General features: G+C 54.1%; 1 protein-coding gene across 1 annotated transcript in view, besides 5 other annotated features; it reads right to left on the reverse strand.

The window, feature by feature from the left end:
- Positions 1-16844, reverse strand: part of HS6ST1 (heparan sulfate 6-O-sulfotransferase 1) — a 53389-nt gene that overhangs the window by 20864 nt on the left and 15681 nt on the right. The window lies entirely within an intron of this gene.
- Positions 1490-2319: an enhancer, noted in NCBI's record as "H3K27ac-H3K4me1 hESC enhancer chr2:129045407-129046236 (GRCh37/hg19 assembly coordinates)". NCBI's record gives its function as "activates a minimal SCP1, AML or CMV promoter by ChIP-STARR-seq in primed H9 embryonic stem cells {active_cell/tissue: H9 hESC(primed)}" and the evidence as "EXISTENCE:reporter gene assay evidence [ECO:0000049][PMID:30033119]".
- Positions 8778-9327: an enhancer, noted in NCBI's record as "H3K4me1 hESC enhancer chr2:129052695-129053244 (GRCh37/hg19 assembly coordinates)". NCBI's record gives its function as "activates a minimal SCP1, AML or CMV promoter by ChIP-STARR-seq in naive H9 embryonic stem cells {active_cell/tissue: H9 hESC(naive)}" and the evidence as "EXISTENCE:reporter gene assay evidence [ECO:0000049][PMID:30033119]".
- Positions 13599-14197: an enhancer, noted in NCBI's record as "H3K27ac-H3K4me1 hESC enhancer chr2:129057516-129058114 (GRCh37/hg19 assembly coordinates)". NCBI's record gives its function as "activates a minimal SCP1, AML or CMV promoter by ChIP-STARR-seq in naive H9 embryonic stem cells {active_cell/tissue: H9 hESC(naive)}" and the evidence as "EXISTENCE:reporter gene assay evidence [ECO:0000049][PMID:30033119]".
- Positions 14198-14795: an enhancer, noted in NCBI's record as "H3K4me1 hESC enhancer chr2:129058115-129058712 (GRCh37/hg19 assembly coordinates)". NCBI's record gives its function as "activates a minimal SCP1, AML or CMV promoter by ChIP-STARR-seq in naive and primed H9 embryonic stem cells {active_cell/tissue: H9 hESC(naive and primed)}" and the evidence as "EXISTENCE:reporter gene assay evidence [ECO:0000049][PMID:30033119]".
- Positions 14796-15394: an enhancer, noted in NCBI's record as "H3K4me1 hESC enhancer chr2:129058713-129059311 (GRCh37/hg19 assembly coordinates)". NCBI's record gives its function as "activates a minimal SCP1, AML or CMV promoter by ChIP-STARR-seq in naive H9 embryonic stem cells {active_cell/tissue: H9 hESC(naive)}" and the evidence as "EXISTENCE:reporter gene assay evidence [ECO:0000049][PMID:30033119]".

The following is a 16844-nucleotide window of genomic DNA, read 5'->3' on the forward strand; positions in this document are numbered from 1 at the left end:
CACTAAAGACCCAGGCAAGCAAGCGCCAGGGAGGGGTGGGTCAGGGGGCCTCATCAGACTGCAGGTCAGGAGCTTGGAGGACGAGGAGGAGCAGGCCTGGCAAGGGGGCTGGGGAATGAATTCCAGACAAACCTGCAGAGCAGCAGAGGACAGGCAGGAGGCCGGGCAGGGCCCCTGGGAGCTTGCACTGCACGCCCAGGCTTTGCAGGCCATCCAAATGCACGGGTTGGTCAGAAGAGGAAATGAGTTCATGGTTTCAAGGACAGGACACTGCTATTAAATGGTGGGAAAAAGGAAAACTTCTGACCTTGTGTCAAAATACTGACTTGTTAAAAAATAAAAAACAAGAGGCTTTATTAGCGTAGGTTTAGGAAATACCTCCTCAGCCCCTTCCCTAACAACGTCTGCAAGCGGGTGAAAATCTTTGCTGGCTTTACAAACAAGGTCAGCAAAGGTTTCAGAAAACAGAGCAGGCTGCTGGCCACGATACGCCTTGCCTCCTGCAAAGCTGTGCCCACCCAGATAGAGAAACCAAGGCCCCACCTGGTTGCCTGGGGAACAGCATCCCCCAAAGCAGGAGGCCCCTCTGAATGCCTCCTAGGAGCCTGAGACTCCCACCTTCCCCTTGGGGTGGTCGGGGAGCAAGTGACCAGGAAGCAGAGGCCCCACACTGGGGGAAGCCCAAAGCTTTTCCTTCAAAGCCCCCTGACCTGCATGATCTCATTGCGCCCTGACAAGGAACCCTCTGGGGCAGGGGGTGGCTTAGCCATCAGGTGGACACACACTGTGGGGTGCCATGCAGGCCACACCCGCCACACCTCCACAAAGGCACTGATGGGAAGGAAGCGCCCAACCCCTCCTGGTCCCAGGAATGGTCACTCCCATTCCTGACCAGGGCAGTCCCCCTGCAAGAGCACCTCAGTGGATATATCCAGGGCCCAGGGCACTCCCCCAGAGAAGGTGCAGGTGAGGCCCCTTCCCCTGAGATGCACTGCCCAGCTGTGGGCAGGGACAGCTGCCCCCCCTACTCAGTGAGGGTGAACGAGACCCCCAGCAGGTCCCCTGACGGGCTGCTTCTCCAACAGCACTGAAGTGGGGGTGCACAGAGAACTGGGCAGAGAGCCGGGATGTGAGGCTTAGGACTGCCTCCACCTAGCAGGTGTCAGGTAAGGCTGTGACTTCTGGAGGTCCTAGAAGTCACCCCCAGGGTAGGGGCCACAAGAGGAGGTGCTGACAATGTCCTCCCAGCAGGGCCAGCTAGAGACGCCGGGTCCAGGGGTGCTCTGCACCAGCCCTCTTCAATGAGGGGAGAACAGGCGGATGGCTTTCTGGGAGCTTGACCCTGTCCAAAAGCCCAGCATGGCTGTGAGCAGCCCGGGCCCAGATGCTGCTGACTGGACACCTGGAATGGGGCTCTGCCGAGGTCTTCCATGAGCAGAAGGGGTGAGGACCACCTCCTCACCTGTGTCCCACTGCCCTTCAGACTCTCCTGCCTGCTGCTCCAAGGCAGGGCTCCAGCAAGGCCATGAGGGCCCTGCGGGGCTGCTCGCCGGTCATGAAGGCTGCCCATTCATATTTCACACCTGCCTGCCTGGCACTTTCTGGCTTCTGACACCGGCAGGCGAGATGTCACTTATGCCTGAACGCACACACTCATACCTTGGGGTCAGGAGAAGGTGACAGTGCCCTGCTTCTTCACAGGGCACGCAGTCGAGCAGCAGGGCAGCTGACTAGGGGCGGGCTGGCTCGGCCTGAGACCTGTCTCCAGAGCCATGGCCTCCTCTTGTCCTGGCCAAGAGCTCTGGGGCTCACTCCTTCTGCTTCTAGGCCTTTTGCTGAGGCTATTGCGAGGACTCACGTGGCCCTTCCTCTTCCTTACAGCCTGTAACTACACATCCACCATGGCTGCTTGGGCCCACCAAGAGAGACGTGGAGGCCCGAGAGGGAGGCTGGCGGCAGCGTCAGGTCCTGCCGGGGTGTGCAGTATTTGTACCCTGCTATGAAACTGTCCCTGCCAGGTGAGAAAGTGCTCAGGGCCCTGAGGCCAGCCAGCACGACTTGATACCTACGCCCGGTGACTCCATGGCAGTAGAAAAGCACAGCCCTTCTGGGGACTCTGCATTAACACAGAAGCTCATATCTGTGTGCACAATGGGCAAAAGAGCCACATCAAAGCTTGTGGGTACAGCCTGATGCCAACTCTGGAAAACACATCAACTGGAGAGATGGAGCAGAAATGCAACCCGCGCCAGGTGCCCTGGGCCTAGTGCCCTGGGCCATTTTTTCTTTTACTTTTTCTGTATTTTTCCGATTTTATATAACCATGCATGTATTAGAAAACAAACAAACAAACAAAACAATCTAATCTGACTTTCTCACAGGAGGTAGGAGAGTCAGGGAGGCCTGGGAGGCTCAGGGCCTCCCCAGCAGCCTCTCAGGACATCTCCAAAGCCACAGGATCATCACCAGTAATCAGCCTTTCTCGGGGTCAGGAGGGCGAGAGCTCATCTGAGGATCACTGGGGGTGTCCCTGGGACCCCTCCAGGCTCCACCTCCTGCTGACCCCACAGCAACTCATGTCAGGGTCCGAGGCAAAGTCCTGGTTCTCACCCACGACCCCACAGAGCCTCTCTGCAGCGAAGAGGGGCTGACACCTGCTCCCTCAACCCCCGAGTCCATATAAACACAGAGGCGGCCGCGGAGAGATGGCCTTGCATGCTCTTGAATGTAGACTATTCTTCCCCAGACAGGGAAATTCAGAGCCTAAACAGCCCACCCCAGAGATAAGCCATTCTGTGCCCAAGCTAACTGCAGTATCCAACTCTATACTCCCATGGCCCTGGCTCTACTTACAAGGAGGGCGACAGCTCCGGGTGATGCACTGAGAAAGCTGTCACCTGAGCAGTGACCCTGGGGACTCGGGAATGCTGACTCTCCAGAACCAGCCATTTTATGGCCCCCCATCAAGCACTTCTGTGGTTGGTGCCTCCAAAAAAGGTTAGGGCCCAGCAGGCATTTGCTCATTTTATTCCTGCAACCCCGGTACGGTCGCCACTATTAGATCCCCCTGCAGATGGGCAAATGGAGACTCAGAGATCCTTCTGCAGCCAAAGTCTCCCAGATACCAGAGGTGTCTGACTTCATAGGCCACAAGGCATGTCTGCTGCTCACCCACGTGCACGGTCCCTGAGATGAGCAGCACGAAGCTCCCAGGAGAACCCGGCGCGCCATTGGCAGCACCAGAAAACAGGTCTCCAGCTTGCTAAGGGATCTGCCATCCAGCAGCTGTGTGGCCCTGACGAGTTCCCCAAGGAATGCATCTGTCATCTGTTTCCTCCTTGCACAAAACAAGACAATATGCCTCCTGGAGGTCACAGCATGACGCTCGGCATGAGGATGGGCCCACCCCAGCTGGCAGGGAAAGAGAGGAAGCTGCCGGAACAGACCTACCTGCTTTCACCAACCACAGGCCAGAGGCACCAGGAGAACATGTAAGAGATAGAGAGAGGATAGCTGTCAGTCAAATTATTTGTATAAAATGTCCAAATATAAGTCACAAATAGCCCGATAATCTCAAAAAGCAAAAATCAAAGCAGTAGTTTAAAATCTTCCTAAAATATTGAGGAAATGCCTGCAGCTTACATTCAAATGATTCTACTAAAATGCAAAAGCATGTATATAACTACATATATAAATATACATGTAAGTACACATGTATCTACAGATATACATATATGTAAACAGCAAGTGAGAGCACCCACTCACAAGCACAAATATTGCAAAATGTTAACAAGCAGTGGGTCTCGGTGAAAGGTATGAGGTTCACTTTACTACCATTTCAACGACTTTGTAAGTTTGACATTTTTCAAGATAAAAAGTTAGGGGTAAAATTCCTACAAAGAAAGTGCTGGGCTATTTCTACCAAATTTTAAAAGAACCAGATTTTTGTAAGCAAACCCTCCTAGACAAGAGTAAAGCAGTGGACACTCCCAATTCATTCTATGAGGCCAACATAATCCTAATACCGAAGTTGGACAAATGCACAAGAGAGGAAAATTGCAGCCTGGTGGACACATCTGCTAAGCTCAGAGTTCAAATATAGATACAAAAATTCCTCAACAAAAATCTTATCAAATCCAACCCAATTGAGCATATAAAAGATATTACACTACGACCATACTTAGTAACCCCAGGTATGCAAGGATGGCTTAACAGGAGAAAATCCATACATGTGACTCATCACAGCAACAGACTACAGAGCTCAGTAAATGTGTAAGAAGCATCTGCTAAAAACACTATTCATAATAAAAACTCTCAGGAAACTAGGAATAGAAGTCCCTTAATTTGGCCAGGCGTGGTAGCTCACACTTGTAATCCCAGCACTTTGGGAGGCTGAGGCAGGTGGATGACTTGAGGTCAGGAGTTCAAGACCAGCCTTGCCAACATGGCGAAACACCGTCTCTACTAAAAATACAAAAAAAAAAAAAAAAAAAAAAAAAAAATTTAGCATGCATGATGGCACGCACCTATAAAGAGGCTGAGGCGTAAGAATCACTTGAACCCAGGAAGTGGAGGTTGCAGTGAGCGGAGATCGTGTCATAGCACTCCAGCCTGGGCAAAAGAGTGAAACTGTCTCAAATTAAAAAAAAAAGTTCCTTAATTTGATAAAGTATCCCCAAAACCTAGAGCAAGCATGGTCCCCATGGGGAAGAGTCAGATGCATTCCCTCTAAGATCATGAATAAGACAAAGATGTCCACTCTCTCTAAGGCAATTCTGCATGTACTGGGGATCTCAGCTGACACAATAAAACAAGGAGGAACTAGGGACCTAACTGTCCCAGTAGAGTCCCCTTGCCTGTCCTTCTTGTCTTTAGTGAGTACCCCGTGCAGGCATTACTAGGCTGGGGGCTTCACACACCCTCTCAGACAGCCGGAGTCCCGGCATGGGGGAGGGCTACTTTTCTTGCCCACTGCCCTTGCCCTGGGTCCAGAGCACCCCATAGTTAAGGCTGTGGGTTTGCGCTCAGTGAGGTGTGAGTCCTGGAGGTTTGGGGCGGCCATGGCACTGGAGCAGCAGAAGGAAGCATTAGCCTCCTCAGTCTGGATCCTCACTGTGTCTCTTGGGGGCTAGACCTCTGGCAGGGAGGGCCCCAGGCACTGGGTGAGCTCAGAAGGTGCGTCAGCGGGAGCAGCTGGCTTCTAAATGAGCTCACCAGGGCCTGAGGGAGAGCCCCTGGCTGCAGGACCTGGGTCCTCCACAGGCTGACGCCATGCCTGGGGCAAGGTGGACCTCAAGGGAGCCAGGGCACAGGCTGTGTGCCTCACCTGGCCTGGCCTCTCCAGCCTGGGGCTCTTGTTGCCTCATACCAGTCCTGCTGCTTTCCATCACTTGGCCCCTCCTCTTTCCACGGGGAGGCCCTGGACAGACCTCACGGAGGCAACCCAGCAAGGATGTGGCTAACAGCTGTGCAGGGGCGCCGGCGGGCATCTGTCCACAGGCTCTTCCCCAAGGGCATACACAGGCTTCCCTATAGGTGCTTCTTGCCCTCCATTCCTTCCGTCCAACACCCTCCCTGCTCAGGGCTGACAGGCTCCTCTGAATGCACACTCTTCTCAACGCCAGGGGAGACCCTGCCAAGCTCCTCCATCCTAGGGTGGCTGTGTGGGGAAGGGTCCGGCTCAGGAGAAGGCCCCTGGATGCCAGGAGAGGGGCCTGGATGGAGCCGGCAGGGGAGGCGGCACAGGGCAACAGTGAGGAGGGTGAACTGAGGCCGGGGGGGCTGGGCCCAGCAAGAGTGCCAGGGATTCCTGGCCCTGCCCAGCTCTAGGCCCTCTCAGTGCCACAGAGACCACCTGGTGAAGGTGTGGGGAGAGGGATCCCCAGAGGGTCCATGCCAGGCAGTCTGGGCCTGCTCACACCATGTGTATCCTTCCATAGGGCCCACGCCTGGCAGGACCCTGGCTTGGAGCGGCTTTAACTGTGGCTGGGCTCCTGAGGAGGTAAGGTGGGCCCTGTGTTCCACGCCCAGCTACCCACCCAACACCTTCTCAGGGCAGGGACGCCCACACCAGTCTGGACACAGAACAACCCGGGGCGAGACACGTACTGGAGAAGACTGTGCTCCTCACCCCGGCGCTCTGGGACCTTGCTTCCCAGAAGCTGGAAGGAACCAGCCAGGCATCCCGGCGAGGATGTGGAGGGTGGTGGTGGGCCCACCCCTGCCTCAGGGAGGGCGGCCAGGCTCACGGGGAGGCTGTGGCATGTGGGCATGTGAGTGGGCAGGGACAGCCCAGCAAGGGCTGTGGGAAGCCGGGAGGGCAGTGCCCTGTGCAGTGGCTCCAGATTCAGGGCATTCAGTGTGCAGCAGGCCAGGGCAAATGGCACGGGGGGAATGGGGCGGAGGGGAGGGGCGGTGACTCACAAGGCCATGGGGGCGGGCAGAGGAACAAGGGCAGCAGGAAGGGCAGGCAGGGGTGCTATCAGCTGACGGGCTCCTGCTGGAAAAGACGGCTCGACTCACAGGAGGGCACCTGAGACATGGGGTGTGGGGGAAGGCAGCGGTCGGGGAGAGCCTAGGCAGGCCTCCCACTTGTCAGCCTCCCCAACTCTGTTGCCACTCCTACTGCAAAAGAGCCCTGGAGACCACCCTGGGTCTGGGGTCCTTGCCGTGGCTGCAGCCCCCCGCTGCCCACAGCCTGTGTGGTTCCACCCATGGGCCTGGTGGAGCTGGTCCCTGCTCTGCTCCGCCACACCAGGCCTCCCTCCCCAAAGGCTGGGCCTTGCTCTGCATGCAGTGGGGCCCAAACCAGCCAGGCACTCCAGCGTCCCACCCGCACACCCTGTCTCCTGCGGAAGGGCACCGCTCCCAGGCACAGCCCGCTCTGAGCCAGGGGCATGTCACACAATATGGCGCTTTTCTCCTCTTCTGGCCTGGCTCCCCATAAGCCTGCCCAAGGGCCAGCCTGGGCCTGGGCAGAGCAAGGCCTGGGAATGGCTAAGGCTTTGAGGCCTGGAATGAAGCATGACCGTCACTCCCTAAAGCCATGAGTAAAGCTAGTCTGAGGAGTAACTGTGGCGGCTGCCACCACCTGCTGGGCACTTTCCTTGCAAACACTGGGGTGGCTCCAGATTTCCCAGAAACCACTGTTCCTCATACCCCAGGACGGGAGGGGACCTTCGAAGTTGGAAGGAGAGCAGCAGCAGACCATGGTCCGAGGGGCGCTTCCCGGGGCCACAGCTTTGGGGGATGTTTAGCAAAACCAGGGGCTGGTATGGCCTGGAGGGCCCGGAGTCAGAGGAGGAACATGCTCCCAGATTCTTTGGGGCCCACGGGGACAGAGGGCAAAGAGAGACCATCAGGTGGCCTCAGGTCACCAGTGAAGGAAGGCGAGTTACATTTATACCAAGCACCTGTTTTGGGGGTCCTCTGGGGGATGAGGAAGGTTGGATTAACCACCAGCTCAGAAGGCCAGTGCTATGTGAGCAGGGTCTGTGGCCACATAGGATCCAGTTAGTCCTGTGGTCAGCCTCTAAGTGTGGAATGGCCATGCTGAGCCAGGCAGAAGCTGACCCAGTCCTGCTGAACATCCCAGGGCAATGGTTTCACCACAGGTTGGGGGTCCATGCTGAGACCACGCTGCAGGGACACAGGGGCACCATGTGGGTCCCGAAGCCAGTAGGCTTGGCTCTGTACCTCCTTGAGGGCAGGGCCCTGCCCTCTCCTCTCTGCACCTGCCCTGCTGGCCCAGACCCTCTGCTGGAAACCTGCCCCAAACTCCATGAAGCACTGTCCTTCACATCACAGCTTCTGAGCCTGGACTTGACAGCCTCCTCCTGAGACCCCACATGGCTCTTCTGTCATACACGCCCTGTGCCCGGCCCTGGCACTGTGCTCTGGATGGCCTGCACCAGGCTAGTGACAATTCACTGACTCTACTGCATCAGAGGGGGCACAGGGCGGGGTGGGCTGTGATGGAGGGCCCCGGGCCCTGCCCATGAAGTGCCGCAGTCCCCGAGGGAGGGGAGGGCTCTCCTTGCTAGTGCTTGGGTCTTCCTTTGTTCTCAGCCTGTCTACTGGGTAGGTGGGACTTGCCACCTTTAGAAACTTGTTCACCCTGGGGCAGCCTGTCAGAGTCAAGAGGCGCTGGCTGTCCTTAAGATGACACCAGTTTCAATAGGTTGGTGGCCCAGGTAGGATGGAGACGCTGTCACACTCCCACCTGGGAGCTGCGGCCCCTCTGAGGACAAGTGCTCTGGGGCCTGGAGAGCTGGGAGAAGAAGGTGGGCTACTGGGCAGTAAAGAGGCTCCACCGCAAAGAAGGGAGGCGTGTGTGTGTGTGTGTGTGTGTGTGTGTGTGTGTGTGTGTGTGTGGAGGGGGAGACAAAAGAGGTCTTCGGACCACCCTCCCACACCCAGGCTCTGGGATTTCCTGACTGTGGCCCACAAGGTACAGGGGTGTCAGCCTGGGTGGGCAGGCCCTGGAGCCTCCTGCTTCCTGAAACTCCTTCCTTCAGGCACATTTGTGCTGATTCTCCATGGACACAGCCCTAGCACCCCCAGAGAGGCTCCAAGGAACAAGGAAAATAAGAAGCAGTTGCCAGGATACCCAAGGCTCAGTGGGCCCCATGACCTACTCCAAACCACCTCCCCCTCTTGGTTTTCCTGTGTGGCAAGGCAGAAATGCAGGAGTCTGAAGGCAGAGGGGTCTGGATGTGCCCAGTGAGGAACCAGCAACTGAGTGACCATGCGCAGATCCAGTGCCCTCTGAGCCCTGGGTCCCTCTGTCCTGAAGGGCTACTGTGAACACCGTGAGATGTTGCCGGCTGATGGCACAGGCAGCATCCTTGCTGCCTCCCCTGTGCTGGGCACACCCATACTGGCTCATTTGGTTCTCTCCTCACTCCAGGGCAATGGGTACCATTCTTCTCTCCACTTCAGGGCAGGGGGTACCACTCCTCTCCGTTTATAGTTGAGGAGTCAGGCACAGTGAGGTGAAGGCCCTTGCTCAGGGCCACACAGCTAGGCAGCTGCCTGGGTGTCCACACCCTTGACTGCCAGGGCTTGTGACTAGGCTCCCAGCACATGCTGGGACCTGAGAGGCTCTCCTGGGACTAACACAAATCTTTCCCAAACTTTTCCAAAAATCTGAAGTGAAAAGAATACTTCCTAACTCATTCTATGAGGTCAGTATTATCCTGATATCAAAGCCAGACAAAGATATAACAAGAAAATTACACACTGATGTCCTTTATAAATACTGATGAAAATATCCTCAGCAAAATACTTGCAAATTGAATTGAACAGCATATAAAAATGATTATGTATCATGACCAAGTGAGATTTATCCCTAGAATGAAAGGATGGTTCAAAATATGAAAATCAATGTAGTATGCCACATTAACAGAATGAAGGAAAAAAACACATGATCATCTCAACTGATGCAGAAACATCATTTGACAAAATTCAATGCACCTGCATAATAAAAACTTTCAACAAACTAGAACCAGAAGGAAACTACCTCAGTGTAATAAAGGCCATTGCTATGGACTGAATGTGTGTGTTCCACCAAAACTCATGTTGAAGTCCTAATCTCCAACGTGATGGCATTTGGAGGTGGCGACTCTGAGAGGTAATTAGGTCATGAGGGTGGAGCCATAATGAATGGGACCAGTGGCTTCATAAGAGAAGACATGAGAGATGATTTCTTCTCTCTTGGCCATGGGAGATGCAGGGGATACAAGACAGGCAACAAGCCCTCACCAGTTCCACATCTGCTGGCTCCTTCATCTGGGACTTGGGTCTCAAGAACTGTGAGAAATAAACACTTGCTGCTTGAGCCACCCAGGCTATAGTGTTTGTAATAGAGGCTGAGCTAAGACAGCCAGATATGAAAAACTCACAGTTAACATCATATTCAATGGTGAAACACCAAAAGCTTTCCTCTACTTTGGGAACAAGGCAAAGATGTCTACTTTTGCCACAGCTATTCATCAGAGTACCGGAAGTTCTAGCCTGAGCAATCAGGTAAGAAAAATAAGTAAAAGGTATTCAGATTGGAAAGAAAAAAGGAAAGTTATCTCTCTTCTCAGATGACATAATCTTATATGTAGATAATGCTAAAGAATCCACTTCCACACACAAAAACCTGTTAGAGCTAATAAACTAACTTAACAATGTTGTTAAAGTAAAAATTAAAAGAAATCAGTTGTATTTCTATTCACTAGCAACAAACAATACAAGAAGGAAATTAACAAAACAATTATGTTTTTGTTGGCATCAGAAAGTGTAAAATATTTAGGAGGAGACTTAACCAATGAAGTGAAATACTTGTAAACTAAAAACTACAAAACACTGATGAAAGAAATTAAAGACAACCCCAGTAAATGGAAAATCATCCCATGTCCATGAACTGAAAGACCTACTATCATTAAGATGTAAATACTACTCATGTAATCTACAGATTTAATGAAATCCCTATCACAACCCCAACAGTATTTGCTGCATAAATAGAGTAACTTAACCTAAAATTCATATGAAATTTCAAGGGATTTTGAATAGCTAAAGTACTTGACAAAAAAGAATGGCTCATGTCTGTAATCCCAGCACTTTGGGAGGCCAATGAGGGAGGATTGTTTGAGCCTGGGAGGTTAAGGCTGCAGTGAGCCAGGTTCACATCACTGCACCTTAGCCTGGATGACAAAGCGAGACCCTGTCTCAAAAACAAACAAAAAAAACCCCAAACCAAAACAAATACAAAACAAAGTTGGACTCCCATTTCCTGATTTCAAAACTTAACTACAAAGCTATGGTAGTCAAATCAGTGTGGTACTGTCATAAAGATAGGCATATAGACCAATGGAATACGATAAAGAGCCCAGAAATCAACCCTTGCATATATGGTCAAATGGTGCCAAGACCATTCAATGGGGAAAACACACTCTTTTCAACAAATGGTGCTGGGGAAACTGGATTTCCACATGTAAAAGAAGGAAATTGGACCCTTATCTAACATTATACATAGAAATTAACTCAAAATGGATTAATGACCAATGGTAAGACCTAAAACTGTCAACTCTTAGAACACAGGAAAAAAGCTTTATGATACTAGATTTGGCAATGATCTCTTGAATATGACATCCAAACACAGGTAACAAAAGAAAAGCTAGATTAATTGGGCTTCATCAAAATTAAAAACATTTAGGCTGGGCATGGTGGCTTATGCCTATAATTCTAGCACTTTGGGAGGCCGAGGTGGGTGATCCACCTGATCATGAGGTCAGGAGTTCGAGACCAGCCTGACCAACATGGAGAAACCCCGTCTCTACTAAAAATACAGAAATTAGCTGGGCGTGGTGGCACATGCCTGTAATCCCAGCGACTCAGGAGGCTGAGGCACGAGAATCGCTTGAACCTGGGAAGCAGAGGTTGCGGTGAGCCGAGATGACACCATTGCACTACAGCCTGGGCAACAAGAGTGAAACTCTGTTTCAAAAACAAAACAAAACAAAAAATTGAAAATATTTGTGCATCAAAGGATAGTATCAACAGAGTGAAACGCAACCCACAGAATGGAAGAAAATATTTGTAAATCATATATCTGATAAGAGATTAATATCCAGAATATATAAAGAACTCCTATAACTTAACAACCCAATTAAAAAATGTGCGACATTTGAGTAGACATTTCCCCAAAGAAGACAGACCAATGGCCAACAAGCAGATATAAGATGAACATCGTTAGCCATTAGGGAAATGCAAATCAATACCACAATGAGATTCCACTTCACATCCATCAGACTGGCTATTATCAAAAAACAGGAAGAAATGTTAGCAAGGATGTAGAGAAACTGGAACCCTTCTGCAGTGCTGGTGGGAAGGTAAAATGGTACAGCTACTGTAGAAAGCAGTATGGTGGTTTCTCAAAAAAAATGAGATACAGAATTACCATATGATCTAGCAATTCCTCTTTTAGATATATTCCCAAACAATCTAAAAGCAGAGACTTAAACAGATATTTGTACACCCATGTTCCCAGCAGCATCATTCACAATAGCAAGAAGGGAGCAGCCAAGAGTCCACTGACAGATGAAGGGATGATGAGCAAAATATGGTACATATAGACGATGGAGTATTACTCAGCCCTAAAAAGGAAGGCGATTCTGACACAGGATAAAATATGGATGAACCTTAAAGACATTATGCTAAGCCAGTCGTGAAAAGACAGTATCATATAATTCCACTTAAATCCGCTATCTAGAGTAGCCAAATTCATAGTCAGGAAGTAGGATGGACGGCGTGAGAGGCTGGAGGGAGGGGAATGAGGAGTTCGTGTTTAATGGGGTCAGAGCTCAGTTTGGGAAGATGAAAAAGTTCTGGAGACGGATGATGGTGATGACTGTACAATGTGAATGTACTTCATGCCACTGAACTGTACACTCAAAAATGGTTAGAATGGTAAATTTTATGTTATGCATACTTCACCACAATAAAAAACAAAAAAAGGCTTTCCCACAACGAGTGTCCTCAAGAGCCAAGTCCCAACAGCTTCTCAGGAGGGAAAGCAGCACGTCCCTGGGCGCGGCCACCCTGGGCCCACCAGTGGGGCTGGCCCAGGCCTAACCCACCCCTCACTCCCTCTCCCTCCTGCATGACTGTGTGGGGTACTCCTCGGCTCTCGGAATGAGAGGACCAGAGGCCAAGGGCACCAGAATCGGCCTCAGATGGGGCAGAAACACACCTGGACGTGGCCCAGGGCCGAGGTGTGACCTAGCCAAGGACCCAGTTTCTGTTCTTTGCAGGGACAGAGCAGGCTTCGCAAGTGCCTGCCTCCTGCCATGCAGCAGAGAGCACACAGCTCCCTCCTTGCTCTGCACCACAACTCCCCGACGCACCCCAACAGCATGGGAGGTGGTGTTCTGCTCTCCCGTCCTCCAAAGGAGCAAACTGAGGCCACAGCTGCACCCTTGGACACAGGCCCATCAGCAGGAGCGAGCCCTCTGCCCTGGCCGGCCCACTCTTAGCAAACTATAAGAGGTCAACACAACACAGATTGCAAATTATGCTGCTGAGGCTCTGCTGGCCCCAGTCTCAGTGTGACATGTGGGGAAACTGAGTGGATGGCAGGTCATGCCCTATCCTCCAGACCCCTACGCTGGACACTCCAGGCCCAATGAGGAAGAGCCACAGCAGCAGCTGAAGGCACATTGAGGCCCAGCCCCATGTGGTGGATGAGGAAACTGAAGCAGAGAGCTCACAAGCCGGTGAGGAGCACAGTGGATCTCTGTCTTTGAAGGCCACGCGTGACCTGTGCCAGGCCCCCGGCAGAAAGCTGGGGCACAGAGGGTAATCACAGTGGGCCAGGCCTGCCTGGAAAGACCCCAGCTGGCGGAGAGACAGAGGCACACAGGGTAGGGAGCTGTGGCTGAGAGGCTCATAACCCCTCCCCCATCCCGGCCCTGCTAACACAGCCCATCTGCCAGGCGGAGGCTGGGGGTGCTGGCGAGGGCAGCAGACCCCTGGGCTCTGAGCAGACGGAGGAAACACAGCTTGTGGCAGCACAAACACCAGCGCCAGCAAGGCAGGGTGGCTCTGGTGGGCAGAGGGCTACCCCACCTCCAGGCCGGGGTCTTGCCAGCCGCTTCCCATCAGCACTCAGATTGTCTTGTGAAGCCCAGGCTGGGGCAGCATGGGAGAGTCAGGCCTGGACCCGGGTGACACTCTGCTTATACTGCTGAATTCACCAAACCAAGGACCCCAGCGGCTTCCTCTGTAAAATGGGGGGCTTCTCCAAAGTTCCAAGCACACTCCAAGCTCCTGCAACCAGAACTACAGGCCCATCCCCAACCCACGGCATTAAGCTGAGGGCATAGCTGGCATGGACGAGGCTGTGCAGGAGGCCCACACAGCGGAGCCTGCCCTCCGGAGAGGGCCTGCAGCCCCAGGACACAGCTACCATCCCTACCTGGACCCTGGCAGGGATGGGACACTGGAGAAGAGGGGGGGACCACCCACCCTCTCCCAAACCAGCGCCGCCTTGGGCCATGCTGGTGACCAGGTGTGGCTTCCACAGTACGCCTGCCCCCAGCCCTGCACCTGGGCCACGTCAAGGGGGCCGTGTGTTCGCGGAGGTGTCTACCTGGGGCGCTGTGTGCACGGGGGTATCTCTGGGTTCTTGGGCCCTGAAGCTGAGCAGCTCCAGTCCCTCTCCCAGCAAGTAGGGAGGGACAGCTGGGACCCCCATAGGACTGTCTGTCTAGCACCTGTTGTAATTAATCTCTTCGGGGGAGGCTGTAACTAAGGGCAGGGTGGGCGGACCACCTTGAGTTACGCAGGTGGAGGACGAGGATGCCCAGGACTGGGCCCAACTTCTGCCCGGCAGCATCACCTGGCCACACCCAGGGCCCCTGCCATGCCAGCTGTGCCCACAGTCAATCCATGAGATGCCTAGGGCAGACCCTCCTCCCAGCTGCTCTGGGCGTGTCTCACCCTCCAGAGCAGCTAGCCCCACACCCCGTCTGAGCCTCCGCCAGTATCTTTCTCAAGGGAGAGCCGCCACCGTGTGCTGTGTGTGGTGGGGGTGGGTGCAATGGCACATGCCTAAGAAATGAGTGCCTCTGTCATTGTCATTAGCTGGGGAGGGCAAAAGAAAGGAATGGGAGCCCTGGGTCACAAAGTTTGAGGAGTCTGGGCTTTTGGCTGCTTGGGTACATGCAGCAACAGCCTCCTGAATGGTCTATAGAAACCAGCCTTCCCTCCCTCTGTGAGGGGCAGGGGTTTCTGGGGGCTGCGTAGCTCTAGCCGCCCCTCTGTGTGGGACTGGGGTCGCCGGGGGCTGCATGGCTCTAGCCACTCCTCTGTGAGGGGCAGGGGTTCCCGGGGGCTGCGTAGCTCTAGCCACCCCTCTGTGTGAGGCAGGGCTGCATGGCTCCTGTACCCCTCTGTGTTGGGCAGAGATCCCCAGGGGCTGCATGGCTCCTGCGCCCTGTGTGTCAGGCAGGGGTTCCCAGGGGCCATGTGGCTCCAGGCTACCCTTCCTGTGTCTGCAATGACAGCAGATCGTCTTTGGAAAAGCATCTCCTCTAATATCCTGGGACCATTTCAAAGACTTCTGAGAGCTCAGGATGGAAGAGCAGCCCAGCTCAGAATGGAAAATTGCTCAGCTCTTAAAGGGACCAGTGGGAAGGAATTTCAAATACGAAGAAACATCCCCAAGTGCCAACCACTTGTAAGGAAAAAAGGAATTCTTGTTCCAGAATGTTTCTGAGTCACCACTGGCGCCAAAGCATGAGCTACTGCTGGGGATGTGTGTATATGAGCGTGAGCGTGCGTGTGTGGGAGAGCGTGCGTGCTTTGTCAGCCCCTGGTCAACCCTGGGAGTTCTCCAGCCTCTCACCCTCAGGGGTACATGTGTGCTGGTTTGAAGCCTGCAGCTGATCCTGCCCGCTGGGCCCAGCCTCCATGGGGTCCCCGGCACTCATGGACATCGGGCAGCATGTGTTCCTGGGCCCCACTGGCTCACGCAGGCATCACGGCTGCCAGACAGTCAGGGACACCATGCTGGCCGGTGTCTCCCTAGTGGGAACAGCTCAGAGGCTCCAGCTTGGCCTGAGGGGAGGGAAGGCAGAGGACTGGGCTCTCCATGGTGCCGCCAGCTCCTCTCCCTGGATAAAGTCATGCCCCAATGAGAAGACATTCCCGCCAGAGCCCTGAAGCCAGTCCCATCCCTCAGGACACCCTGAGGCAGTAGGTGTCACTGCTCAGTGTGACCAGAGTGGAGGCTGTGCATGGGGACTTCTGGCCAGGTGCTGTGCTCCAAGCTGGCGCTGCTGCCTCAGGGAGTCTGAGAGGTGTAACTAGGGGAGGATACCTGGTCTCAGGCCCCATGACTCACTGGCCGCCTGCTAAACTGGGGACCTTGAGGTCAAAGAATGCCATGGGCAGCACACATGGGTCAGGCTGAGCTGGAGCTGTGCAGCCAAGGCTGGCGTGCATGTGTGTCTGCATGTTTACTGATGTGTACGTGGTGTGTTCACATGTGGGAGTGCATGTGTGGGACTCTCTCACTAAGCATCCAGCTGAAGACACTCCCATCTGATCCACTCCCTCCCAGCCCCAGCCCTGTGACCATCTGCAGCTCCTCTAGGTGTAGGGCTAACGGTTCCCCAAGGGTGGACCCAGTCCTCTCTTGGGGCCCAGGAATAGCTCTGCACGCAGGTGCTGGTGACTGAGTGGCTCCTTGACATGGTGGCTCCCTCCCAAACCCCCTGCTACTCCTGTGCCTGGTGGCTGGCTCCCCTCCCCTCACTCCCTCAAGCTGCACTTGGGATGCTCCCCACCAAGCCCCTGCCACCACGGGGCTTCAAGGCATTTCCTGATTCAGGCCCAGCCCTTGAGGCTAGGTCTCCCATTGTGGCTAGGTCTTCCATTCCAACGGCTCTGTGGTGGGGCCTCTTCCGCAACGGCCCCCATCTGAGTCCACCCTCCCAAGGCCTCTTTTGGGAAGACAGCCGGCCAGTTCCCTGCTCTGTACAGGGCAAGGCCTGGCCTCTCAGCTGCTCCAGCCTCTTCTCCCCCGACGGCCTGCCCTTGAGGTCCTTGCTCACGGCATCTTCTGCCTGCAACGCCCTCCTGTCCTCACCCCTCCCTGTGTGTTCCTCCAAAGTGCTGACCACATGTTTCTCTGGTCCCCCACAGTCTAAACCCCAGGAGCCAGGCCCACACATCCGACCTGCTGCCCATTCCCAGGAGGAAATGCCAGGCTTTTCTGGGGCCTGGGCCTGCCCCACCCCTGATGCCCAAGGGCGAGGCACACAGCCAGGACACCTCCACTCTCGACGTTCTCT

Source organism: Homo sapiens, chromosome 2 (assembly GCF_000001405.40).
Source record: "Homo sapiens chromosome 2, GRCh38.p14 Primary Assembly".
Classification (NCBI taxonomy): Eukaryota; Metazoa; Chordata; class Mammalia; order Primates; family Hominidae; genus Homo; species Homo sapiens.